General features: G+C 49.8%; 1 protein-coding gene across 22 annotated transcripts in view, besides 4 other annotated features; it reads left to right on the top strand.

Annotated features, from left to right (window-relative positions):
- The window catches only part of TMEM273 (transmembrane protein 273), a 33,656-nt gene extending 8,980 nt beyond the window's left edge, over window positions 1-24,676 (top strand). Inside the window, exons 2-7 of one of the 22 annotated variants that reach the window (XM_047424684.1) lie at window positions 11,450-11,503; window positions 12,403-12,543; window positions 13,616-13,646; window positions 16,506-16,549; window positions 17,790-17,813; window positions 24,447-24,676. In XM_047424684.1, the coding sequence (XP_047280640.1) occupies window positions 11,450-11,503; window positions 12,403-12,543; window positions 13,616-13,646; window positions 16,506-16,549; window positions 17,790-17,813; window positions 24,447-24,493 (341 nt within the window). In that variant the 3' untranslated portion in view covers window positions 24,494-24,676. The other 21 variants (XM_047424687.1, XM_047424685.1, XM_017015793.2 and 18 more) reach the window with 21 other exon arrangements.
- Window positions 1,710-2,049: an enhancer, noted in NCBI's record as "active region_3346". NCBI's record gives its function as "activates an Ori minimal core promoter by ATAC-STARR-seq in GM12878 lymphoblastoid cells {active_cell/tissue: GM12878}" and the evidence as "EXISTENCE:reporter gene assay evidence [ECO:0000049][PMID:35858748]".
- Window positions 3,535-4,034: an enhancer, noted in NCBI's record as "H3K4me1 hESC enhancer chr10:50383423-50383922 (GRCh37/hg19 assembly coordinates)". NCBI's record gives its function as "activates a minimal SCP1, AML or CMV promoter by ChIP-STARR-seq in naive H9 embryonic stem cells {active_cell/tissue: H9 hESC(naive)}" and the evidence as "EXISTENCE:reporter gene assay evidence [ECO:0000049][PMID:30033119]".
- Window positions 4,035-4,536: an enhancer, noted in NCBI's record as "H3K4me1 hESC enhancer chr10:50382921-50383422 (GRCh37/hg19 assembly coordinates)". NCBI's record gives its function as "activates a minimal SCP1, AML or CMV promoter by ChIP-STARR-seq in naive H9 embryonic stem cells {active_cell/tissue: H9 hESC(naive)}" and the evidence as "EXISTENCE:reporter gene assay evidence [ECO:0000049][PMID:30033119]".
- Window positions 8,111-8,610: an enhancer, noted in NCBI's record as "H3K4me1 hESC enhancer chr10:50378847-50379346 (GRCh37/hg19 assembly coordinates)". NCBI's record gives its function as "activates a minimal SCP1, AML or CMV promoter by ChIP-STARR-seq in naive H9 embryonic stem cells {active_cell/tissue: H9 hESC(naive)}" and the evidence as "EXISTENCE:reporter gene assay evidence [ECO:0000049][PMID:30033119]".
- Window positions 24,677-25,317: the final 641 nt, after the last annotated feature.

The raw sequence follows: 25,317 nt of genomic DNA, 5'->3' as shown, positions 1-25,317 counted from the left end.
TCTTCCCCATGGGGTGAAAGAAGGAGTGGGGATGAAGGCAGAATGCCTGCTGGGGAGTCTCTGATCCTCAATCCCTGATGAGGGCCACAGCTGGGCGGCTATAAAGCCGAGCCCCACAGGCCAACACATACTCAGCAGACCTTTTCACTAGCTCCCAAATTAAACTATCTCCACTTCCTCTTTAAAGTCACTATAAGCATTGTTGTCACATCTAGACCCTCATTTATCTACCACAATTGCTTGAACTGCTCCCTTTATTAAATTTGATTCCATGAAATAACTGGATAATGGTTCTTAGTGAGATGGACTGGGCTCACTCTCCCCTGCTTGTCTGAGTGAAGCAGATGGTCAGTTGGGGAACTCCTGCCTGGACCCCAGCTGCAGCCAAGCCCTGTTCACACCTTTGCAAACTCTTTGGCCATGTTATCGAGAAGTCACTATTCAGGGCAAGAGGTGAAGGACCTGGAGCTGGACCCACAGGCTGTCTTGGAGGACTGGGACACACAGACACCCAGAGCTTTCTCTTTGATTAAGCAAATATTGATTTTCACCAAGGTCTACTGGCACATGAAAATAAGTAAGTCAGGCTCCAACCTGAGGAGCTGACAGTCTACAGGGGACAGTTGCAATGCAGTGTGTTAAATACTGAGACGAAGGACTCACAGAAGAAAAAGGAGAAGCTCTTGAACCAAACTAGAGTATCCAGGAAGGCTTCCTGGAGGAGGAGTCTTATTGAATGCTAATTGCGTACATCTCTGCCTAGGTGAAATCCTTCAGCAGCTTCCTATTGCTGCCAGCAAGTACTAAAGTGTTTACTATGTCACTGGCCTCCTAGACCTGTCACGAGCCATCCCCTGTTGTTCCTGCTCCCTGGTCTCAGGGAACATCCATCAGGTTACTGTCCAGCCTCCTCACATGTCATCTGTTTTGCATGGGATGATGCTGTTCCCCTCCAGGGTCATAGAGATACTCCCACTCCCCTCTGTACTGTCACCACCGTCAGGGGAGAGATCTGGTCTTGCTGGGCCATTGCTCTAGAACCTGCTCAGTAATTAGCACTTGTTTGAGTCAATTATTGCCCGAAGTGGAACATCAGCCTCTGGAGCCAGTCTGCAAGAATGGGACAGGTGGCGTGCCATCCTAAGAAGAGAGGACAGCCTCTGCTGAGGCCCCGGGCAAGGGCAGCATGGACTACAGGGGTTGTGCAAGAGGGGAGAATGAGAGGTGACATGGGCCAGCAAAAGAGGAGGGCTTGATGAGCCCTGGGAGGACATTGGGCCTTATTCTGTAGGATTTTAAACAGCCTTACAGGAAGAGTGCCTGGCTGCAGTGCCCCAGATGGGTTGGAGGCAGGGAGACTTACTAGGAGAAGGCAAATGGATAGTCCAGGAGAGGGGAGGCTGGCTGGATTTGTCCCAGGCCACACCAGCAGGGTCATGTTGGCTTCTGAGGCCCCAGGGCACCCATCTCTCACAGCTACTTCCCTGAGGCAAGCAGTGTGTGGCCTGAGCTCAAGGTGTGTGGCTGAGTAAACTGGTGTCCATCCCAGCTCCTGGCCAGCCCATGCTTAGCCCCACTGGCAGACAGTGTTGGACAGGCAAGGCCAGGGCTGTGTGGCAAGGAGGGCTGAGCAGACCCAGCCAGAGCTCCCTGAGCTAACCCTAGAGTCCTAAAGAAAAGAGACCCTCCCAAACCGCAGATGAGCCCTGATTGTTGAGTCACATGTGACACATTAAGATACTTTGGTCAGTTTGTAATGACTGTTCACCCTCCATGCTGCTGTGAGACTCTTCCTCGGAGCCAGTGACTCAGGCTCAGGCATGGAGCCTGAAGAGGTCACGTCACTTCCTGGGGCTTTCCCATGAAAAGAGGCCACTGTCCCCAAGAGAGGCCCTTGTCCTGACACTGGCTCCAGGACCCCACGTACACACACAAATGCAAATGCGAAGAATTTTTTTCTTTTTTATCTTGTTTTGAGAGTTCAGGAACCGGGTCAGCACTCAGGCAAACAGAGAGGGAGGTTTGTGTGCAATGGCTTAGTGCAGCTGAAAGTGAGGACCCGAATCAGGGAAACCACAGCCTGTGGCTGCCCTGGGAACTAGAGAGGGAGGGAGGAAATGCTTTTATTTCAATTTCCAAAAGACCAGATTCCCAGATAACTGCACCTGATCCCTCCACCTGGTGGTTTCCTCTGGGGACTGAGCATTGCCCAGAACTCTAGGAGAAAAGCCAGGGCTTGGGTAAGGGAACTCGCTGGTGAGTCTGATGGCTCAGGAGCCATCCTTGGTCCTGGAGGGTCTGTGGTTCAAGGTGGCCCAGGCCAGGCCTGGCTTCCTTCTGCTCTACCCATCTGACCCTGCCTCCCCTGGCGGCAGGCAGCAGGGCTGCACCTCCCCCTCTGGAAGGGGCCCCTGAAGAATGGACTGCAGGGCCATGGGGTCAGGGGGACTTCGGCTGGACCATGCGTGGGGCTTGATCTATAACTTAAATATTTAGACATGTGGCATGCTGTAGGCTCTGCAAATGTCAGGAATTGTCTTAAAAAGCTAACTAGAGTGGAGATGCCTAGCACGGATGCTGGTGCCTCGCAGGGTTTACGAATGATCTGTCCCGGTAAGTGGAGGCTGATGGGTTTAGTAAGGGGCTCCGGTGCAGGCTGTGTGCTGCCGTTTCCTCTGCAGCATCATGACCCCTTTCCCATGGTCCAGGACAGCTGTCATCCCACAGCCCCGCTCCCTGGATGCGCACTCCCCTCGGTCAGGTCCCTCAGGACTCCAGAGCAATGCTTCCCAGAGGCTGAAGAGCACAGTATGAATATTGCATGAATAATAATAACCCCACCACTTAGCGGTTATGCAACGCTTTCCTCTTCCACAATACTTTACCATCATTAATTAGTTATTCCGCACGGCTTCCAGCCTCCCCTGCTCTCTCTGCAAGGCATGCCCTGAGAGTTGCTCCTGCAAACAGGCCTGTCCTGGTCTGAAGCACCAACATCAAGTGGCCAGGCCCCTCTTCACTGGGATTGTACAGGCTATGGGAGGCCTTGGTTTGGCCATTTCTCGAAACAGCAGAGGCTTGTGCCCTTGCTGGGGAGCGCCACCTCTTTTCTGACCTGAGCACCTTCCCAGAGTGCCTCCCGGTGTGCTTGGCTCCCCATTTCACTCATGGCCCCTAGGATAGTGGCAGACACCCATCTCAGGTGGTGGCGTGTTTGCTTGTGGAAGGGCAGCTGCTGCCTGCACCTCACTCTGTGCACACACTCCTTCCGGGGACTTGTCCAGCCATGCTCTGTGTGCAATGGGGCCACTGAGCTGGGAGCCATGTTGTGTCTGGTCCAAGGCCACAGGCTGACAATGGGTGGCAGAATGGGGACTCAGATCTCTTGGTTTCAAATACCCTTCCCTCCCACCCACCATGGGAGTCATGGTGAGGTTTCAGATCCCCACAGAGAGGCTCAAAGGTGGGGCAAGTCCTTTCTCCAGTGAGTAGGGTCGGCTGGGTGTCCGGCTGTGGGGCCTCTGATCTGGCCCTCCCTGGATACCACTGTCCACCCAACCACGACAGCCTCAGGCTCCTCCTTGTTCCAGAACCCCCGTCTTCCTCAAGGCTTCAGCAGCCCCTTCCCAGGTGTGGCTCAGTGCTCACATGTGTCACCACTCCTGGTCAGAATGGACCTGGGACACCAGGTGGGGGGGGCCCTGCCCCCTTGGAGGAGCTCCTAGCCCTGGTTCAGGCCCAGGCCAGCTCTCCGCCTCCACCCCTCCATTAGCCTGAAAAGGTATTGATCAGTTTGGCTTCTGTGAGCTGAGTGTTTTAATCCCACTGTGTGAATCTTTAAGAATTAATTAGCAAAGAGTGCTCAAGAAAAACAAAGTGGGCACCAGTTTTGATACCTCCTGGTCACCCGCTGTTATTGTTTCCCTCTTAATTATGATGCTATTTCTGGAAGCTAGAGGCAAGCTCCCTGGTGCATCTCAGCCTGGGGTGGCCTCTGCATGGCCCTCCGTGGCCTCCTGCTTCTCGTTCCTGCCCAGGGTGGCGTGCGGCGAGGAGAAAAGGCACAGAGGCATTGTAGCAGGCAAGATATGAGTGGCCAAGCACTCCCACCTCTGGGAGCAGGGTGGCCACAGGACTCTCCCCTCTGCTTTTCTGAAAACCTTATCTGTCCACAGTGCCGGCCACATCTTATGCCAGTATCCCCAGCTGCTCTGACCCTGCTCAGCTTCCTTCTTTAGCCCTCAAGCCCTCTGTACCTCCTTGAATCGCCTGGCTTTTGCTTGTACCTTGTCCTCTGCCTGGTCACATTCCCTGTCTGGGCACATTCCATTCCAGTCCCTGCTGCCACCTCACCGAGACTTTATTAGCTCCAACTGGTCCTTTTGTTTTTAATTTAAATAATGATCTCTCCGGGGGAGCTTCTGTGACACTCCCAGGCTGGGTTAGGTGCCCGCCTTGGCCCACCTGGCTGGCTAATCACTGTACTTTCACGCATTAGCAGGGACTGCCGTATGTGGAATTCCTTAATCACTGCCTGTCTTCCAGAAGCCTTAGCGTCAGGGTCGCAGGGGTCCTGAGCTGGAGTTGCCAAGCAAGTGGTCTGCTCTGACACCACGCATATTGTCTTTCCGTGGATGGGGGGCGGTCCATGGAAATCAAGGAGTTGTCTAAAAGCTCCCAGAGTCCCCCTCATACCACCCCCCACCACTGCTTTGCACACCTTTTTCCCGTGTGTTCCTTTTGTACAGCTTTGCCAGGTAGGTTTGGGTTCTGCCCCAGCCTAGTTCCTTGCACAGAAAGCAAGGACCACAAGCGGCATGGGAGGGGTCTGCAGACGTCCTGTTTAGAGTCATGCTCTGATAAGACTGGAGGGTGATTGAGGAAGAGAAATCTCAGGTGGTTCCGGGGTTTGAGATGGGGACTCTGAGATTTCTGCAAGTCATGGTCTAGAAGTGTCTAGACTCCGGCAAGAGCCGAGCGATGCTGGAAGTAGGAGGACTGTGTAGCCAAGGCCCATGACCTATGCCCCTGCATTCTGCTAGAGAGAGGGCTGAACAGGTGCTATTGCACTTGGGGTAGGTGCACTTCATTTCCACTTTCAAACAGCCCCGTGGAGTGCCTGAGAAGCAGACCCATTTGTGAGCCCTGAGGCAGGGGCAGGGGCAGGGCCCGCCAGCACCCATATCACCCAAGCCAGCTAAATTTAAGAAGTATAACTTGTGTTTCACTCTGACCCCAGGGTCCACTAACATTGCAGGGTAGCACAGGATAAATGGGCAGAAAGGCAGGGTTGTCTCTGGTGAGTCTTTTATATGTCAGCGTCCTGCATCCCCATTTTCAGATGAAAAAAGGGAAGCCCAGGATCAATCTGCTGTGTGAAGCATAGCTGGGCTGTCTCCCTTGACTCTACACATCTGATTTCTTTTCTGAGCCTCTTGGCTCAGAAAAGTGTGTGCCAGCTGGGCCTCCAAGGCTCACAGTGGGCTGGAAGATGGAGCCACTACAGTGTACATGGTCTCAGAGCCACAGGGGAAACGCTATCGCCCCCCCTTGTCTCTCTGTGGCTGAACTGTACTTGGATCCTGAGCTCCGTACCACTCAGTACTTACACTAGATCTTATCTCTTCAAGCCATTTCTGGTTTAACACTCAGTTCAGACTTCTCCCATCCACCTTTCTCGGCATCCCCCAGGAGAAGAGTCCAGCTTCCGAGGGCTCTCATGCATCATCTCGCTCTTGGGAGAAACAGCTTCCTCTGGGTTGTTTGTGGCCTTCATGCCATAGAGCAAGCTGCAGACTGGGGCCAACAGTGCGGGGGAGAGGTGTGACACATGGAAGGAGTGATCCTGGACTGACGAGAGCAAGGGGGACTTTCAGAGGAGTGGCTTTGAAGGATAAATAAGCACTTTCCACAGGGACGAGGGAAAAGCATTGCGGCAAAGAGAGCAGCAGCCTGTGCAGAGGCCAGGAGCCGTGTGTGTTGCATGGCTTGCACATCCCAGTCCAGCTTGTGTGGGGCTGTGTGGTATAGCTCCTCCTTCACAGCCAGCCTTCTCTGCTCCTATCTCCCAGTCTCCAGTGACGCCCTCTCAGGACCCACTACCGAAGTCATTAGGACTCCTTTGTTTGCAGATGACAGTTACCGAGCTCAGATAAGAGTAAGAAAAAGAAGCTATTTCCTTACTGAGGTGACTCAAAAGTCCAGGGAGAAGTGCTTCGGGCACAGCTGGATTCAGAAGCTTCAAAGCATCTTTAGGACTTGGTCTGGGCTCAACCTTCTTCAGCAGGGACTTCAGTCTGCAGGCTCCCTGCAGTGGGCAAACGCAGGCCTCCCTTGGCCCCATAGCTCTCAGCTCTGGAAGACATTCTTGCTTCTCAGTTTCCCCTGAGGCTCTGAGTTAGGTGTCACTGGTCTGAATTGGATCTTCTGCCCCACCTGTTGACCAATCACAGTTGACAGGAAGAATAAATGTGCTAATTGGTCAGGCAGGGTTCACACATTCCCCAGGAGCCAGCCCTGTGGGAGTCACGTGGAGTGCCTCCTGGTGTGCTTGGCTCCCCCACTTTGCCCATCACCCCTAGAAATTGGCAGATGCCCGTCTCAGGTGGTGGTGTGCTTGCTTGTAGAAGGGCAGCTGCCACTTGCACCTCACTCTGTGCACACACTCAATTTGGGAACTTGCCCAGCCATGCTCTGTGTGCAATGAGGCCATTGAGCTGGGAGCCGTGCTGTGTCTGGTCCAAGGCCACTGGCTGAGCAATGGGTGGCAGAATGGGGACTCAGATCTCCTGGTTCCAAATATCCTTCCCTCCTACCCATCATGAGGTCATAGTGAAGTCTCAGATCCCCACAGAGAGGCTCGAAGGTGGAACAAACCCTTTCCCCAGTGAGTAGGGTTGGCTGGGGGTCTGGCTGTGGGGCCTCTTGTTGCTCAGAGGAAAACTGAGGTGCTAGTCAGGAGAGGAAGGCAGGCCATGCACCAGTGCCCACTCTGCACCCTGTTCCCACTTCCTCCAGCTTGTGAGACTGAGGCTTGGGGAAGGCGCTGAGCTTTGCCTGTGACACTCTGATCTTTTATTCAGTGTAAATCTTGTCTCCCTGGTCACTCTGTGAGCTCCTTCATGGGGCACTTGGGTCTCTGGTTGCTCTTTGATTTCTCCTAGGCACTGGGGCCCCCTGGAACACCCTATAGGCTCTTTATTTACATGTGTGAGCCCTGTTAGGAGAATAAGGAAGCCTGTCCTAGACATTCAAAGCCACTTCCTCTAGCTGAGAATGTTGGAATTCATGAGCTCTAAAGTTAGGAGCCATTCTGCAACATTTAAGTCCCAAGAAGACTATGGCCGGGCATCATTGACAAACACTTAGGGCAGCCTCTCCCTATTTTTAGTTCAAATACTTATAGAACGACATCTGAGTGCACGCACGCCTACTGGCCCACAACTGGGAATCCCACAGCCTGATTCTGCCCAAATAAGGGTGGCAAAGAGTGCCAGTCCCCCATCAAGGGTGGACCCAACAGGTGGACAGCTCAAAGAGGCCTGGATGCCGGGGATGGGCTCTCAGCAGGTCAGATTCCAAGTGAGATGGGGCAAAGCTAGGCCGTGCCTTCAGCTCTCTCCAAAATAACTCATCTCAGCTTGTGTAGAGCAGCCCTGCCATCTTCCTCCCCAGGAGCTGGGGTGGCTGCCCTCCCATGTTTCTGGGGGACCATAAGACAGAGGGACATCCACTCTTGCAGAGGGCTTCTTGCTGTTGGGAGAGCCACTTACAGAGCAATCTGTGTGCTGCAGGCCTGAGGTGGGAATGGCAGCTGTGAGGGGGCTGGAGCCCACTATTTTGTCAGGGAGGCACAGAGTACCAGGTCCAAATGGGGCATCAGGGAGAAAGCAGAAACTCTAGAATCTAGAGCCCATCGAGTGCCCTTGTGCAAATTAGGAAAAGCTTCTATGGTCAGAGGCTGATCTGACCACACATGGAAGCTACACAGGTGGAGGCTGTGGAAAGCCCCCGCATCTCAGCAAGTCCTCTGGAGGTAGCCCTCTGCCCTCTGCTCTCTGCTCTAGGCAGCAGCAAGGGCCTGTATTCTGGCTCTCTGACCCTGCCCAGTGTGAACAGTTCAAGGGAGGTGGTCAGCCAGACTTATGCAGTCGGTGGTAGCAGTCAGATGGGGTGAAGCCAGATTTGGCCAGAACTGTGCCTATTATGGCCTCAGCAAATCTACAGGTTAGAAGGGTGCCTGTTTCACACAGCCTTACCTCAGTCCCCTAGGACTCTCCTGTGGGTGCCAAGCTCCCTCCTCCTTCTTGCATGAGATCTCGGAGAATTCCCACAGAGAAAATGCAGTGCAGTTCCTGCTGGTCCTCGTGGGCTTCCTCCTGGGGTCTCCCACAGATCTAAATGCAGCCGAGGCACTCCAGAGACCTCTGGCTGTGATGTCCAAGCAGGCCTGCTAGGGCCAGCCATCCTCCAGCTACTTTGCAGAGCCAGGGGACATCAGCCAGTGCTGGAGGCTTGCAGGGGGTCTATGGCCCAGGGGGTCCTCCCCAGCTCATGACCCTAGCAGGATGCAGGGGTGGGGCCGGCCAGGCTGCTGTGCTGAGCATGGACCCTCACCCAAGGGCTCATGAGTGTGTAGAGTCACAGCTCCAAGCACAGGAGGGCTGCATGGAGGGATTTCCCTCCCTGAGGAGGGGAAAGGCTGCCACTGAGTGGCTGTGGGGCTGGCTCGCAGGAAGGGCTGGGCCCTTGGCTGTTTGAGTGCACAGCTGGGTTATCTGCCCACGTTGGTCTCCCTGCAAGTGACTCAAGGTGGTGGTGGAGTTGGGGTGGCAGTGGGAATTCACTCAGTCCCTAAGTCAGACCACCAAAAATAGAGCCTCTTTGGGGCCAGGGATTAGGGGAAGCCTCACAGCTTGGAGGGGACACAGGATGGGACATAGAGGATGGTGCCTAAGGGACTGGCCTCTTTTTGGGGGTGAGCTGAACCTCAGCCAGGGGTCCCAGCCACAGAGAGGGGCAGAAGGAGCTGAGGGTTCAGGGCAACACATTTGGGGGGTGAAGTCAATGAGGAAGGATGCAGGACAGCCTGGCGAGAATGGAGACCGTGATGCTGTTGGAGAAACCAAGGCCAGGGCTGGGGCCTTTTGATGTTAGGGCTTTCTCCTCTTCCTTTCTCTTCCCTCCCAATGATGGTCTGAGTGACTCAAGCACAGCCTGAGTGTGTCTCTTGAGTGTCTCTGTGTGTACCTATGTCTTTCTCACCCTTTCTAACCTGAGTCCTTCCTTCCTCTCTGCTCGGATTTCATCTCAGGCTAGCATGAAGTTTCCATGCCAACACTGCAAGTGAGAGCAATGCCCACCAAGGGAGGATGGGAGGGGGGACCAAGCAACATGCTAGTGTGGCAGGGGGAGGGCGTGGGGTGAGCCTGGGGCTCAGGGGTCTGGCCCCACCCACTGAGGCCCTGCCCTCCCCTGTCCTCCTGCCTTCTGCCCAGTAAAGGCAGAGAGAGATCAGAGGTGTCAGCAAAGGGTCCCGTCCCAGGAAAGGGTGAAGACGTAGCACACACAGCTCTGAGTTGGGAGTGTCAGTCTGGAAATGTGCTCCCACCCACAGCCTTCCATTGAATATAAGCCTTTGCCCCATGTCCGGAACGATGTTCAACCTAGCTGGAGCAGCAAGATTGACTTAAAAAAAACAATAAGACAATGGAATGAAGCTGATTGGGGCTTCAGAGAACAGACAAAATCAGAGTCATATTGTGTGCGGTGGTGTCTGTGTGTGTGAGCAAATGTGCTCACATGGGGCTTGTGATCTGTGGGAAAGAGAGAAGATAAGTCATTGAATTTTCAAAAATATCTGTGATTAGAACAAAGCTGAGAACTTTTGCTTTAGAAAAAGCTTGGGGAATCTTTACCAGTCTAAAAAATTAGACTGCCGGAAAAAATTCTGAACTCTAGCAGGACAATTCCTCTCTCCACCAAACACACACAGAGCAAAGCTGTCCCCTGCAGAGCTCCAACCTACCACGCCACTCTGGGCATCACTGAGTGTGGTCAGCAGACAGGGTTGGGTGGAGGATGTCTTTGCTATGATGCTTCCTTCATCATACCATCTGGTCTTTCCCAGTGAAGTCACTTGTTTCCCTTTGTGAGAAACAGGAGTGGTAGCACACTCTCCTGCCTTTGCCTGGAAGTTTGAATGTGAGACTCAGACTTGGATCTTACCATTTGCCCATCCCCAGCCCAAGTCCATGCAGCCCTAGGGCTTGATGGTTTTGGTGGTGTTGTATCTGTTAGTTCACTGGATTCACATTCACGTCTGTAGGCCTTCCTGGACTCTCAGTGCAAACCTGCCACTTCCCACTTATCTTGGCTCTTGGGCAAATTAGCAAGACCACAATGCCTCCCGTTCCTCATTTTGCGAATGGCAATAATAACAGTACTTATCTCACAGAGTTGTTGCTGTGAGTATTACATATATTAATGCCAGCACTGCACCCAGTGTCCGTCTCAGAGTAAGTGGCCAATAAATGTGCACATTTCTCTCCAAGGACCTCACCTCTGGATCACTATTTTAGGGCGCTGTTTGTGAGCAGTATCTCCTGTCTTAAGGTTTCAAGGCCTGGCTAGAAGAGGGAGGGACCCTTACAGCATGCTCTCTTTCCTTCTTTCTTTCCTTCCTTCCCACCCTCCCTCCCTCCCTCCCTCCCTCCCTCCCTTCCTTCCTTCCTTCCTTTCTTCCTTCCTTCCTTCCATTCACCAATGTCTATTAATGCCTCCTGTGGGCCAAGCACTGCATCAAATGCTGGACACTATACCACGCAGCCCAGAGCGAGACCAGCCAGAAGACGTATTGATGTGTTAATATGTGAGAAGCTTTTAGGATGGAGCCTGGAGCAAACTAGTGCTATGTAAATGTTGTTACATATTGACATGGTCAGTTATGGCCGGCAAGCACCACGGCTACGGAGCACACTGGGATCAGCTCACCCAGGTCTGGGGAGTCAGGGAGGAAGTGGCATGGAGCCAAGACCAGGTAAAGGAGGAAGGGAAGAAGATGGGGTCAGGCAGAGGGTGTGGCCCTGAGGCAGGGCAGGAGATTCCCTGGCTGTGTGGGGAACTAGAAGCACCAAAGCCATGCTGGATTAAGGAGGGCCTTGGGAGCCACAGGGGAGCTTGTGGAGCAGGCTTGGGTCAGAGTTCAGGTCTTGGAAACTGTGCTGAACGGCTGACTGAAGTGCATTGGGTGGAGACGCGTTCCTGGTCTGAGTTTTGAGGGAAGCTCTGATGTCTCAGCAAGGCTCCAAGACACTCCATGGCAATTGGGAGCCCACCTCTGTGCTCCTGGTGGGTACATGGGGTAGGCTTTCCCAGGCCTCTGAGACTGGGTAGCTGGGACCACAGCCAGCTCTGTTCTAACCAGGCTCTGGGGTTTCTTTCTTTGCAGATGTAGGAGGAGCTCAAGTGCTGGCAACAGGCAAGACCCCTGGGGCTGAAATTGGTACGTGGCTGCCCATGTTATTCTGTGCACAGGGTCAGGGGCAGGAAGGAAGCTCCCAAGACAAGCAAGCAGAGGGCCGCAGTGCTGGAATTGGTTCCCTGCTGTCAGCATAGGAAAAGGGGCACCCTCACCTCCAGGTCCCCCAGAGCAGCTGACAGCTTTATTTCGGGGGAAAGGCCTTGCATTAAAGCTCGTCCACACAGGGGACGTGATACCTCAGGGCCACAGATGCGTGGCTCCAGCACCCACTGAGCCCTGTCCCACAGCCATGGGCCCTGACAGCATGCTTTGCCAGGCTCACAGCCCTCATCGGTGCCTCCCTCCACCTGCGAGCTTCCAGCCTGTCTGCCCCTTAAGGGCCTCATCTGCTGGCCAGGCTCAGTCTGCATGCCTCACCCTCTGAGAAGGCTCTGGACGCCCATGACTCTAGGCCAACCCAGCCTCTCCCGTCATGAGCTCCTTCCCTGTCCTCCCCAGCTGACTGCAGGCTCCTCAAAGGCCAGACAGGCCTTATCCATTCTCCTGCAGTGTTCACCACAGAGCAGGCAATTAACACACACCCAATAGATGAGTGGATGAATTAACGAAGGGATCAGTGAGGAAGGGCTAGGAGGCTCAGGTGGCCAGAGAAATGAGCCACTCACCTTTTGGGCAGGGGTAGCCAGGTGAGCTTCAGGGAGCCTTGAAAGGTGGCAACAGTTTCTACAGCTGAAGGAGGGGATGGGGTGCAGGCAGAGGCTAGGAGCAAAGGGACTCATGGGAGAGTAGAAGGTGAGGCTGGCCTCAGCCAGTGGGAGGTGGTGTGTTAAGGGCCACATGCATGCTTTGGACCTCATCTGGAATGCAGAGGGAGCTGCAGGTGACTGAAACCGGGTGTTCAATTCCTCCCTGCGTTTCAGATTTCAAGTACGCCCTCATCGGGACTGCTGTGGGTGTCGCCATATCTGCTGGCTTCCTGGCCCTGAAGATCTGCATGATCAGGAGGCACTTATTTGACGACGACTCTTCCGACCTGAAAAGCACGCCTGGGGGCCTCAGTGGTGAGGGATGTGGTGCTCGGGCCTGGCTCTGCCCCACCCAGCGAGGCACCGAGGGCCACTCTGTGATGCTGGCTACAGCAAGAATGAACCCACAAGCGCAGAGCCCAACAGGCTGTAAAGGAAGGCAGTGACCTCTGCATGTTTCTGTCTCTCTCACTAACCCTTTGCCTCTGTTTCTCTTTCTTCTGTCTCTATCTCTCTCTGTCTCTCTATTTGTGTTCCTTTTTCTGTCTCCCTTTCCATGTCTCTGTCTTTCTGTGTCTCTTTCCCTCTGTACTTTTCCTTTCAGTTGCTCTTGGCAGTCCTGAGAATCACATTTCCTGGAGAAAGGTGGGAGAGGAACTAAAATTGGCTTCACACAGAAATTTCTGTTCTCTCATCCAAATGATGAGATCAAATAAACCCAGTCCCAGTAGGCAGCGAGGTTGGTCCTAAGTGTGGGCGGATGGTGGGAGGTTCTGTTGACACTGCCTTTGTGGGTCAAGATGAATTTTTTTTCATAAATTGGGAAAGTCCTTCTCAAAGCAGTACTGAGTAGGCCCTCAGAGAGAAACTGAGCTGGCTGACATGCACCATGGCACAGCCCTCTGCCTCCTTGGCACCCAAAGTGCAGTATTGATTTGCATCCCTTCTCTCAGGGTATCATCCCCAGACTCATCCTCTGTTGTATTAGATGGCTCACTGCAATGACGGTGCAGTTTTCCATGGGGTGCTTCTGGGGAGAATAGAGCCTCACTGCCTTCCTGGAAGACGTGATTATGATCCGTGAAGATAAGCAGAAGGGGCTGGTCTGGGCCGGGAGAGGAGGAGGCTTCCGAGATGCTGGCGTGTGCATCGCCCGAGGGGCTTAATAGGCCATGGGAGTTTGCTTATCCTTGAGTTTGCTTATCCTTGTGTATCCCCACAAATAAGGGGAGGAAACAGCCTCTTCATCACATAGCAGCCAGGCCCCGGGTCTCTCGAGGGCAACCGTGAGTGAGAGGACCAAGGAGAGGGAGGTGAAAGCTCTAGGGAATGCTCTGCACCTCTTGTCACACGACCCCCTTCCTAATGCCCGGCTTTCTCTGTTTAGACACCATCCCGCTAAAGAAGAGAGCCCCAAGGTAAGGTCACTGCCCACACAGTCAGGGAGAGGTATCGTGTTCTCTCCTGTCTTGACCGTGCCACTCCCTTGCCTGTCATCCCCAGCCTTCTCTGCACTCTGGCATGCTTTCTAGGTGACTAGAATGCACCTCGTGGTCCCCTCCTTACACTCTCTCCTCCTCTGGACCAGTGGGCAGGTGTCACAAGAGTGAGGGCCACAGGCTACAGCCGTCAAAGGGAGTAGGGCTCGCCTCTGCATAGCCTGGATTAGATCCTGTTCCACCCCCACTCAGACCCCTTCAGTGCATACCCCTGACTTTCAGAATGAGGCCTCCAGCCCCTGTCACTTGGGAGGTCACACGTGGTTTGTCCCAGGTTTCTGGGCTTCCCTGCTGGCATCAAGGTACCCTGCTCTTCTGCACAGAGCCCACGTCCTCAGGGACGGTCCTGCCTTGGGACCTTTGCACTTGCTGTTTTCTGTAATTGGAATGCTCTTTGCCAGAAAGCTGCAAGCCTCGACCCTCTTTTCCTTCAAATCCCTGCTTCAGTGTCACCACTGCATCATGGAGGGCCTATTTAAGGTACAATCCCCTCTCGACTCCAGCCACCATTCTCTTCTCTTTGCTTGGCTTTAGTTTTCTTTATAATTCTTTGCACTAGTTGATGCTATACGATATATTGATTTGTCTATTTTGCATGGGTTTTTTTCTAAAATGTAAGCTCCGGGCGGGTAGGGTCTTCCTTTTCACTTCTGTAGCACAGCACTTAGCACAGTGCCAGGGACAAAGTGGATACTTGCATATGTGTTGAATGAATGAATAAATAACTGAACATGAGGCCATGGGCTAGGTGCTGGGGGTCAAGGAGAGAGAAGTAGGACAATCTCCCCCAGTCTACAGGGGAGACAGGCAGGTCCCAGGTGGTGGCTGCACAGTGGGGGTGGGGGTCCCGGGAGGTCTATGGCAGGCTAAGCATGTGTTGCCTTGTGTCTTGGGGGTGCAGAGGGCTGCATAGCCACTAGGAGGTGCAGGGGAGCCTCAGGCTACGTGCGGAAGGACTAAGAGAAGCTCATGAATGCAGAGGGAACCCTAGTATATGTAGGCATCATGGGTAAAACCTGCCGCTGACAAACATGCAGTGTGGCAGAAGCAAGTGTTTCATGTGACGATATGGAAGGAAGCGCTGGAGAGATAGGTAGTTTCTATGCATGTACAGTCAGAGGGGCTTGTGTTAAGCAAAGGAGTCTGAAATCTGTCCTGAAACTTCTGGTCACCTACAGATGGGTTCTAAGCAGGGGAGAGAGAGAATATTTTTTGTTATATGGTGGCATGGAGGAGGGCCCAGCTGCAGCCAGGAAGATGTGCTGGAAGCCCGGACAGAGACTCAGGCCTGGTGCAAAGCCCTGCTGGAGTAAGTCCAGGTGGAGGCAATGGAAAAAATGAAAGATGGGAACAAAGTTAAGGAGGAGCTGGCCCAGGGACCTGGGATGAGGGACTGAGACAGCCACTGGAGGAGAGAAAAGAATCTAGAACAGCTCAGAGTTTTCTCTGAGCAGGTGCCCTTTGGGAAGTTGGTGGGGGAGCAGCTTTGGGCAGTGAGCTGGGTGAGATGATATTTTTTTGAACATGGTGAGCCGAAAGTTTCTGGACACTTCCATGTAGAGGAGATGTCTAGTAAGTGGCTGGCATTTAGGACAGAGGTCTGGGTTGACACAGGGTTAGTGGCTTTTAGAAAGTACCCAGAGCCCAGTCTCACCCTCCAGTTCTTCCATGGGACCAGGGACTGGGTAACTTCCAAGTAGTGTCTATTGAAGGAGCGGATGGATTAATGGCTGCATGAGGGATGAACGCATGGTGCATTGTGGCTGCGGGTCATGACTCATCAGCCCTCATGGAGTCATGCGCTTGGGATGAGCTGGACATGGATTTTCTTGAGAAGTTCACTTTTTTTGAGGATTTCTCCTCCTACAGATATTCTAGTTTTCAGCAGTGGTTTCTGATTGTGAAGCATTAAAGCACATTTCATCAACTCTGTCTCCCAGCACCCCATCTCTCCTTCTGTTTCTGACTCTCACTCTCCTTCTCTCTGTCCCCTCCCATGTCATCCCCCCACCCCAAGTTTGTGTCAGTCCACTGGGTCCTGGGCTGGAGAAGACAGGATATATAACTTATCATCCAAGACAGCACTTTGTGAGAGTGAGAAGAGGCTCTGTAAAAGTTGCACCAGGATGATAGGTGTGAGCCTGGACTGTCCTAGGGAAATAGGGATGTGTGGTCAACTTAGATTGAGTGGGCCTGTGAAGTGTCCAGGCCCCGGTGGCCACACAGCACTCCTCTTGCTGGCCATGTCACGTTCTCTGCATCTAGGGCATGTAACCAGCTTCAGGGGGTTTTGGAAATGTGTGGTCGAATTGGGGATATTTCAGGTTGAGGGACCAGAGATGCCATATGTCCCATCTCTCTCTCTCTCTCTCTCTCTCACACACACACACACACATGCACATATTCACACACCCAGACCCACATTGGCTGAAGTTGTCACATTCCTTTTTATAGAAGAAACATGCCGAACTGCTCCCAGTGCCCCCAAATCCACTGATGCGGGAGAGTAGAGTTCCATGCTGGCCAGCTCTTCACACCCCTCCCTTCCCCCCGCCCTAAGAGGCCTTTGCCCCGGGCAGCTCTGTGTTCTTCTAGCCCTAGGGGGGTTGGCACAATCACAGGTTCTCCTAAGTGTGCAGCTGCGGCACCTGGCCAGGAGGGTGTCCCAGTCCCCGCTGACCCAAGGGCAGCACTCAGATGGCTGTGGGTTGGGCGCTGAGTCAGCATCTCCCACCATGGAATCAGGGTGGACTGGCCATTATAAGGGTTTTCACACAGGGCTCTTGGAGGACATGAGGAGGCCATGGATGGAGTCTGGAAGGGTGAGAAGGATTGACTTCCTAGAACCTTTGTTGCCTTTGTGGGTCCAGGTAGCGGTAGCATCTGTGGTGAGGAGTGCAGGAGGAGTCTGTTTTGAATGGATGGGCTGTGTTGGCCATGGCGAAGACCCTGGCACCATGTGGCCTCAGGGGCCCTCTGCTGGGTGCTTAGGTACCCAGGCAGAGGACACAGACTGCTGTGGCCAGCTCAGCCCCTGTGGTCAGGAATATTGAAACATGTGGAGATTCTAGCACAGTGACCTTCTCACCACGGGGAAGGCTCTAAAGTACTAGAGCTCCCCCCAGCACAGGGACGCTACCTTGACCATCTGAATTCCTGGCACACATTGAGGGGGACTTTGAGTTAAGGCACTTTGCTTTGCAAATCGCCAGACCTTGAAGCAGACCATGCTTCAGGGACATCTTAGCCACGGACTTCACATAGAATGAAATTTCACAAAGCTCGATCCTTAATCCTGTTGTGTGTGTGCGCACGCATATGTGTGTGTGTGCATGTATTGCCTGTCTATATGTGTGTGTGCATTTATTGCCTGTGTATATGTGTGTGTATGTGCATGTGGCCATTCATGATGGACTCTGACACACATACATCTGTGTGGGATGATGCTGCTGTGAGCAATACAACACAGACCCATTTGAAAACACTGCTGAATGAGCAGTCACTGTGCTTTTTATGTTCTTATGCATGATCATCTAAGAGGAGCGTCTCTGTTATATGTGTTTTTTGGAAGTTCTGGGTTATTTTGAGCTATCAGGGCTATAGAAGGCATTTTCCATAATCCAGGAAAGATGGCTCCAATAGTTATTCAACAATGAACTTTCTGAAAGCGAAGTTCATGAGAAAACATGAAGGGATGCTAGAGGAAGCAAGTGGGTGAGGGAGGCAAGAAATAAAGGCCAGGAGAGAGGGAGGCTGGGAGGCAATGGCTGGATGGGAGTTTATACCCCTGATAATTAATACATCGCCCTCACCACGTGCAGGGAGCTGTTCTTGGCAGGTATCGTAACAGAGCTCCTCTGCAAATAGAGGGACTTTCAGAGAGGAGAAGCAGGATTCGAGTTTCCAAAACTAACACTAGATGGAGTCAGGCTGAGTCATGAGGAAGTCAGACCCAAAAGAGCAAGCTAATGACAAGCAAGCCACTCTCTTGCAGCAAGTTTTGCATTGTCTTTCTGGCTTCTAAGGCTTAGGCAATGAACACCCTTTTATCTTGTTTTGCAGGCGAAACCACAATTTCTCCAAAAGGTGAGTTGTAAGAGTGATCACTTGTCTTAAAAGGAGGACAGGCAGTCTCTGCCCCATGGGGCTGCATGGGTTTTCGGCATGACCTCTCCCTCCCCTGGCCACGTGGGACGGGCAACCATGGCATGGCCAGGAGCCCTCATGCCAGGACAGCTGTGAGACCAGGAATCAGCATCACCTTGGGACATGATGGTACTTGGCAAGATTTAACATGAAGCTGTGGGGCATTTGCCCAGTTAGAGCTGAGAAAATGGTTTTAACAGGATAGGTAAACTTTTTTTCATTCTCCAAGACCTATCCTATGATAGTGTCCAATCTAATAATTAGCCAATTTAGTCCATTTGATGAAAAAAATTCCCAAACATCTCTTCATGTCATCATGCTATCAGTTTGGCTGGGTATTTGCATCTCAGTGCTGCTTTGGGGTCTCGGAGAGGACGAAGCCTGTATGTGGAGGGCCGGTCTACAGAAGGGGACAGGATCTCGGACCCCTGATTGAATGAGCCTATGGATGAAGACTCCTAGGAATGAAGGCATCTTCACCAGGGTTTTGAGAATCATCATTTCACAATCCACATTCCCCAGCTTGGCTTTTCCTCACCTCATGCCCCTTGCATGTGCCAAACCCACTGAGAATTTGCTCCCTGTCTGACCAGCCCAGGATGGTCACACAGGCCTGGGGCAATCTCTTGACCTCACTCTCCTGCTTTATGAAAAATTTTCAAATCCAAAGAAAAGTTGAAAGAACGGGACAATCAAAATATATACACCCTTCACCTAGGGTCACTCACTGACACGGTGCCCCCTTTGCTTTATCTCTGTGTACATAAGCCTTTTTTGACTGATCTACTTGCAAATTAGTGTAGATATCATGATATTTCACCCCTGAATACAGCACCATTGTGTTTCCTATTGTGTATAATCACAATACAGTGACCACTCCTAAGAAAATTAATGCTAATTTAATATCATCTATTATACAGTCCATATTTAAATTTCTCTGGTTATTTCAGAAGTATCTTTTATTGCTCTATTTTTTATTGTGCTATTTTCCAATCCAGAAAAAATATTTGTATTTATTTTGTCTTTTTTTTAAGTCTCTTTCAGTATTGAACAGCCCCTCTGCTTTTTATCCTTATGGCATTGTTAATTGAGAAGTCCCTAAGCCCCGTTGTCTTATACAATGTCCCATTTTCTGGATTTGTCTGATCGTTTTCTCCTGAGTAGATTCAGATTGAAGTTTTTGGTCAGAAATACCATGAAGTGATGTTGTGTATCTTTTGTTGTATTGCATCACTGTTGGTGATGCTTCGTTTGCTTGGTTAAGGGAGTGACCACTAGATTTCTACATTTGTAGAAATTAGAATTTTCCCCTCTGAAATGAATAATACGAGGGGTGGCACTTTGACACTATGTGAATATCCCGACCCCCAACAATTCCTCACCTAATGATTTTATACCTATTCATGATCCTGCTTCAAGCAGTTTTTGCCATTGGTGATTACAAAATATTGACTTTCTAATTCCAGCATTTCTTCTATATTTAATAGCTGACATTCATCCACAAGGAAGCCTTTTTATTCTATCTCCCCTTTCTCCTTCTTTTGTTGAGGATTATTACTGTGGACTTCAAGGCATTTTAATCCATTGCCATCATGATTCTTTCTGAAGCCCAAATTGTTGCAAATTTGGCTAGTGCAAGTCACTTCTTGGTGGCCTCTGTGCCCTTTAGACAGAACCCATTAGTCTTTGAGCACATGCTAGACTTCTGACAACACAATATCTCAGGCTCACCTTGACCTGCTCCCAAGGGTAGCACAAGGGTCTAATTTTCCCAAGGGTCCCTGTTTCTCTCTCTGTCTCTCTCTCACTCTCTCTGTCTCTCTCTCACTCTCTCTCTCTTTTATTTTAATTTTTACTGTGGAATCATTTTTAGAAACTAAGATCTGGGCACAATGTGTGCTCAGGGCTACTGAGGTGTCATTGCTTCTAGGCCCTTTCAATGGGCAGAGTCACGAAACGTGCATTTAAATTACACACTCAATATCATAAGACTTTTCCTAAGCTTTCCCTAATCCATGTGTCTAGATTGCCTTCTCCAAAGTAAAAACCCTGCTTTTCCACCACATAATATTTTTACTCATTTTCTCTATTCTATAATACACACAAAATGCCTCCAGAAATTAGAGCACTATGCAGCTATAGACCCACTCAGTAAACTTGCATATTTCTTTGCAGTGGCTTTTACCCTTAGAATTTAGCCCTCTAGGTGTGCACAGCCAGAGTATTGTGTTCAAATGAAATTAATTATATTCTCTGTGTGGTTATGCTATCAATTGGATAGAGAGTCAGAAACACTTGTTTTAGTGTGTATTATATTTTACTATTTCCTGTTTTAATCTTTTAAAATTTTAATTTACATAGTTTTCTTTACACAGTTTATCTCTGAATCGTGTGTCATGTACACGATTCAGAGATAAACTATGTAAACAGATAAACTCAGAGAAGTGTTTCTCTTGTAACTGTCCACTCTACCGTGTTCCTACCTACTGCTTTGAAGTTGCTATTTTCAATAGTTCCTGGTTTATTCTTTCTGTGATACTTTTACAAAAATATATTTAATTAAAAACACTTTTATATAGACACACTTTTTAAAATAAAATTAGAAGATGTTTACATATAGATGTATATATCTGTGCATATATACTTTTCCCAGCACTTGGATGGTTTTATTGTTTACTTAGATGTCTGATCCATTTGTCATTTATTCTGGTGTGTGGTATGAGTTAAGATCCAATTTTTTCTTTTTCCCAAATGGCAATTGAATTATTCCGATACTATTTTTTAAAACCACCCTATTTCCCCAGTGTTTCATTTGCCTCTTTTATAATGTTCTAAATTTCTGTGCGTACTAGGGTATTTCTAGGCTTTATTCTCCATTGGTATTTGCGGTTATTCATGTGCTGAGAGCTTCCTGGAGAGGCTGAGCCTAGAGAGGCTTCCTGGTGTGCTCTACCTTCTGGTGGGGCTGGTTCCCTCCACCCGCACACACGTTGTGCTTCCTTTGCAGGGGACATTCTTGCTATTTTATTCCAGCTATTCTTTCATATTTATTTTTCCGTATGAACTTTAGAATCAACTTCAGAATCTTTCCACAGAAACAAAAATCTTTCATGGTGCGGGAGCTGGGGGAGGTCCCAGTGGAGAATTTTATGATGATTGCTTTGTGTTTTTGGTTATTGGGCTTTTGTATAGACCAAAGCAAAGAAAATAAAAACAACACACAGAAAAAAAAAAAGAAGCAAACATCCTGGTATTTAAATTGGGGTTGCATTATATTTACATATTAAGTTAAAGATGATTTACTTCTTTACGATGTTAAGTGGCTCTCCATGGAAAAGAGATAATTTTTTCATAAAAAATTATCTGATTTTGTGTGTTTCTGTTTTTGTGTGTTTCAGGAGAGTTTTCAGATTTTACTCTTATAAGATTGTCATATTTTTTGTTATATTTATTCCTAAGTATTCTGCCTTTGCTGCTTTCAAAATGGAGTTTTTGCCATTATGTCTCCTACCTGGTCATTGATTGTATTTTGATTTTGGGGGATTATGTTAGCATTATAGGGGTTGCCTTGTTGAATGCTTTTATTCTTTGTCTCTGTTTTCTTCTCCGTCCCTTGAGTTTTTATGATATTATGTCACCTGCCAAAATACAGATCTTCTTTCCCAATTCATATGCCTTTAATTGTCTTCTCCTCTCTGATTGCATTGGCTAAAAACACCAATGTTAAATAATAGTGGAAAAAGTGTGCATACAACATGCGTCTGCCAGACTTTGATGGGAAATCCACTAGTGGTGTCCATCAAGTAACATGCTGGCTCTAGGGCTGAAGCACACATATCTTATCATGTTAAGGAGCATTCATCAGTTCCTATTTTACTGAGTTTTAAAAATCAGAAATGTGTGTTGGATTTTGCCAAAGATTTTTTTCAGTATTAGCAGGCATAAATGTATCCTAACCAGATGAACCCTGGGGCTAACCAGAATGTATAGGAATCCTCATTATTAGTTTTACTTTTGTTTCTTTTTGTTCTTCTTCTTTCCTTGTTGGTCTATGTGATTCTTGGAGGATGTGGTCAAAGATTTGGGTTAAGTAGCCACTAAATCACATGGTATGCAACATGCTCTTGCTCTTTCTCATGATGCCAGCCCGGAGTACCATGCAGCCTAATTCACCTACTAGTCCAGCCAGCAGATGCTGCCCTAGACTCTGCCAGCCTTATCTCATTTTCTCCAGATCGTGCCTGGCTCTCTGGTGGCTGGTGACACACCCATCTGCAGAGGTATCGCTACCTGTCAGAGAACAACTTCATCCATAAGGTAGCTCAGCAGTGCCCCTTCTTCTGCTCAGGGCAGCCAGGGGTGGGAGGAGGCTGCTCTCTTGGGCTGCCCATCTACTCTGGGCATTGATATCTCAAGTGCAAACCTGGCTAACTCCAGCTTCTTTAGATCCCTTCCTTATCAACACCTGAAGGGGCCTTTTAATTCAGGGCTTGTTAAAGGCACTAGGAAGGATGAACCCTCTGCTCAGCCTCTGGGCCTCTAAACCCCATTTTCTTCTGAACCTTCCATCTTTTGAAGGAGAAAAAAACCCCTGACGGCATTTGAGGCCCTTGCTTGGAATCCCTCCCTTTACTTTTCTCACCACTTCCTCTCACCATATCTTGCTGGTTTCCAATGTCTTTCTTGTCTTTAACGTTGGTTCTACTGCCATCAAGCTCTATATCCCTGACCATTACGTGTGTCCTTGGTCCTCAAATATGGGGTAGTCAAATATGTGCTGTCTGTTTTATGGCCTTTGACGTGGCTTGTCCCAAAGATGCTTCACTCTGTCCCGCCTTCCTGCTGTTGCTGCCCCATCTCTCATGAGGAGATCTTAGCTGTCAGGAGACTGTGACTGAATATACACAATGGAAAGTCATACACAATTTTGCATCATTCAATGTAAGCATATATACCATTCTATTATATTCTAGATGTCTATGTGAAACTACAGTGAGGGTGTGAATTTGGTCTCAAGGCATGGAGGTATAAGTGAGGCCCTTCGCAGGGTCTGCATCCTACTTTCAGTCCACATTCTATTGTTTCTGAGTCTGGTTTGTTGACTCATCTTCTCTTCCATGTTTCCCCTTTTTTAGACACCTATGCTGCCCTTCCCTTTCATCAAAGCTGGTACACCAAGCACAGAGAAGTCTCACCCTCTGTAACAGCTCGTAGTTCAGATGTGAAGGCATTATTTTCCAGTTCTATTCTCATAGGTCTATCTATCTTGTTCCTCGTAGCATCTGGCCAGATCTGTGCAAATTCACCAACTACAGAAAGTGAAAAGTTTCCCAAAATATGCCTATTAACCTCGAGGAATGACTTCTCTTTTTGTCATCAAAGTGGATGAAGTTTTGTTTGCCTTGGGTTTGGCAGGCAGAAAACAACTTCCAGGTTGAGCTCTCCCCTTTACCCAGAAGCCACTGGCCTTCAGTTCCTTTCTATGTTGCACAAGGAAGTGGCCCACCTTGCAGGCTTTGCTGATGAGCTTTTATACCTGTTTAATTGTGTGAATTGCATAAACACATGCAATCATTAGAGTATAGTTGCTCTCTCAATAAGTCTTCCAGATGGTTCTCTTCCTTTCCAGAGATGCACAGGTGATTGAGCTGTAGGTGAGCAGTGACGTGAAGAGGGGTTCTAGCCCCGTGGAAAACAGCCCATGGTTAACATCTCAGGATGTTCTGCATTCAAACACCCAAGGCTGGTAATGAACTTTCACATGGACTGAATATTGGAGGCAAATAATAGAAGGAATAGAATATACAGTGCCTCTGTCCTGAAGGAAAATATCATGCCTCTTCTGGAAGAAACGGACTGCACAGAGGAAGGATTGAGCAATTTAGCCTGCAGTGGAAGAAGGTGGACACCAAAAGCTTCACCCTGTGTTGGAGCTGTTCATGCTTCCATGAGGCCATGGTGTCCATGTCCGTGGAACCTACCACAGAAAATGGCTCATGAAAAGGGGAATCCGACCCAACACACAGCTTCCTACACACTGCCATCTTATCAACAGTTAGGCACTACTTTGTAGAACGATTAGCTTCACCCTCTTAGCTGCCAGGAGATCCCTTCTTAAAGATGGACTATGTGAAGATTCGGGAGTCCTGAAACATGGGGACTCCGGGATGGTCTCTAGCCCTATCGATGATGAACACTGGCCTTCTGGAGGGGAAATGGCAGTCTGGGCTGGCGTGGTAGGAAGGGCTTTGGTGTTCATGGAATGGGCCTGCTGCTCTCAGACCTTCAAAGGATGGAACCAACGAAGGACCAAATGAGAAAGCAGATGCTGTGCCTTGCAGAGGGCCATGAATGTCAGTTATTATTTTTCTCCTTATACAATTATTTTGTGGTTATTATTACAATGTACATGGCTGTTGCATAGAAGACATGACTGGTGGAGGCTGAGGAAAGCCATGACATTCTACAATTGCCATCAGGCTAAGGCCCCGTGAGCATTTCTCTCCCTTGTAATATTAACCCTGTATTTCTGGGATCACATCACGGAATATTCTTTGCCTTTCCACTTTCCAGGAAATCTCTCGGACTGGGCTACCCTCCTTGTGTGTGATGAAAGATGAGCTATATTTCAGAACAAAGTGCTGTGTTGTCATGATTTGCCTGGACTCCCAGGGCGTCTCTTACCCAACTTGATAACGATGCTGTTCATTAGCAGCCTTTGTTAACTGATAACCAAGAGCGGTAATGTGATACTCATAAGCAATTTTCTGTGTGTAGGATAAAATAAACCATCTTGTATGGGATCTGCTAATTGATTTGCTTCCTTCAGCAGCATTTTAATTAAGACATCTAGTTTGTGAACGGCAGAAACACTTGTGAACTGAAGGTGAATGCTCCTGGAATTTCAGCCATCGTTTTATCTTCTGTACACACAGCAAAACCTCAGTGTTCTCTCCCCGACCCCACCTCATGACATATTTTCCCAACACCACCACTGGACTCTGGTTTTGTTTTAGCCCCACACAAGGTTTCCCAAGTGAAAAACAGAGAGAATTATGCTGAAGGCCAGTGTCCTCTCCTTGGGTCATAAACGCTGACATCATCTGGGAGGCAGATGGGCAGGAGGCCCTGACATTGAGGTCTCTCTGGCTTACACTCCAAACCCAAGCTCAATATCTTCCTTCTGGATGTCCTTCTAGTCCTATTGGAAGCTCTTTGAAGCCCCCCTCAACAGCTCTTCTCCATAAGAGTAGCTCCTGGGGATGCAGGGTCCAATGGGCAGTAGCTCTTGGAAGTGACTGAAAGGAGTCCTAACAAGCCATTGGGTCTGCAGTGTAGCCTCATGAGTCAGGGCCATTCCAGCATGGTTGCCTCACCCTGTGGTTTGACAGTATGCTAGCAGAGGCCAGAGTCTGGACTAAGCCCCATCCTCCCAGCCTTGTAA

The sequence above is a fragment of the Homo sapiens genome, chromosome 10 (assembly GCF_000001405.40).
Source record: "Homo sapiens chromosome 10, GRCh38.p14 Primary Assembly".
Taxonomy (NCBI): Eukaryota; Metazoa; Chordata; class Mammalia; order Primates; family Hominidae; genus Homo; species Homo sapiens.
This window is presented reverse-complemented; position numbering and strand designations above follow the sequence as displayed.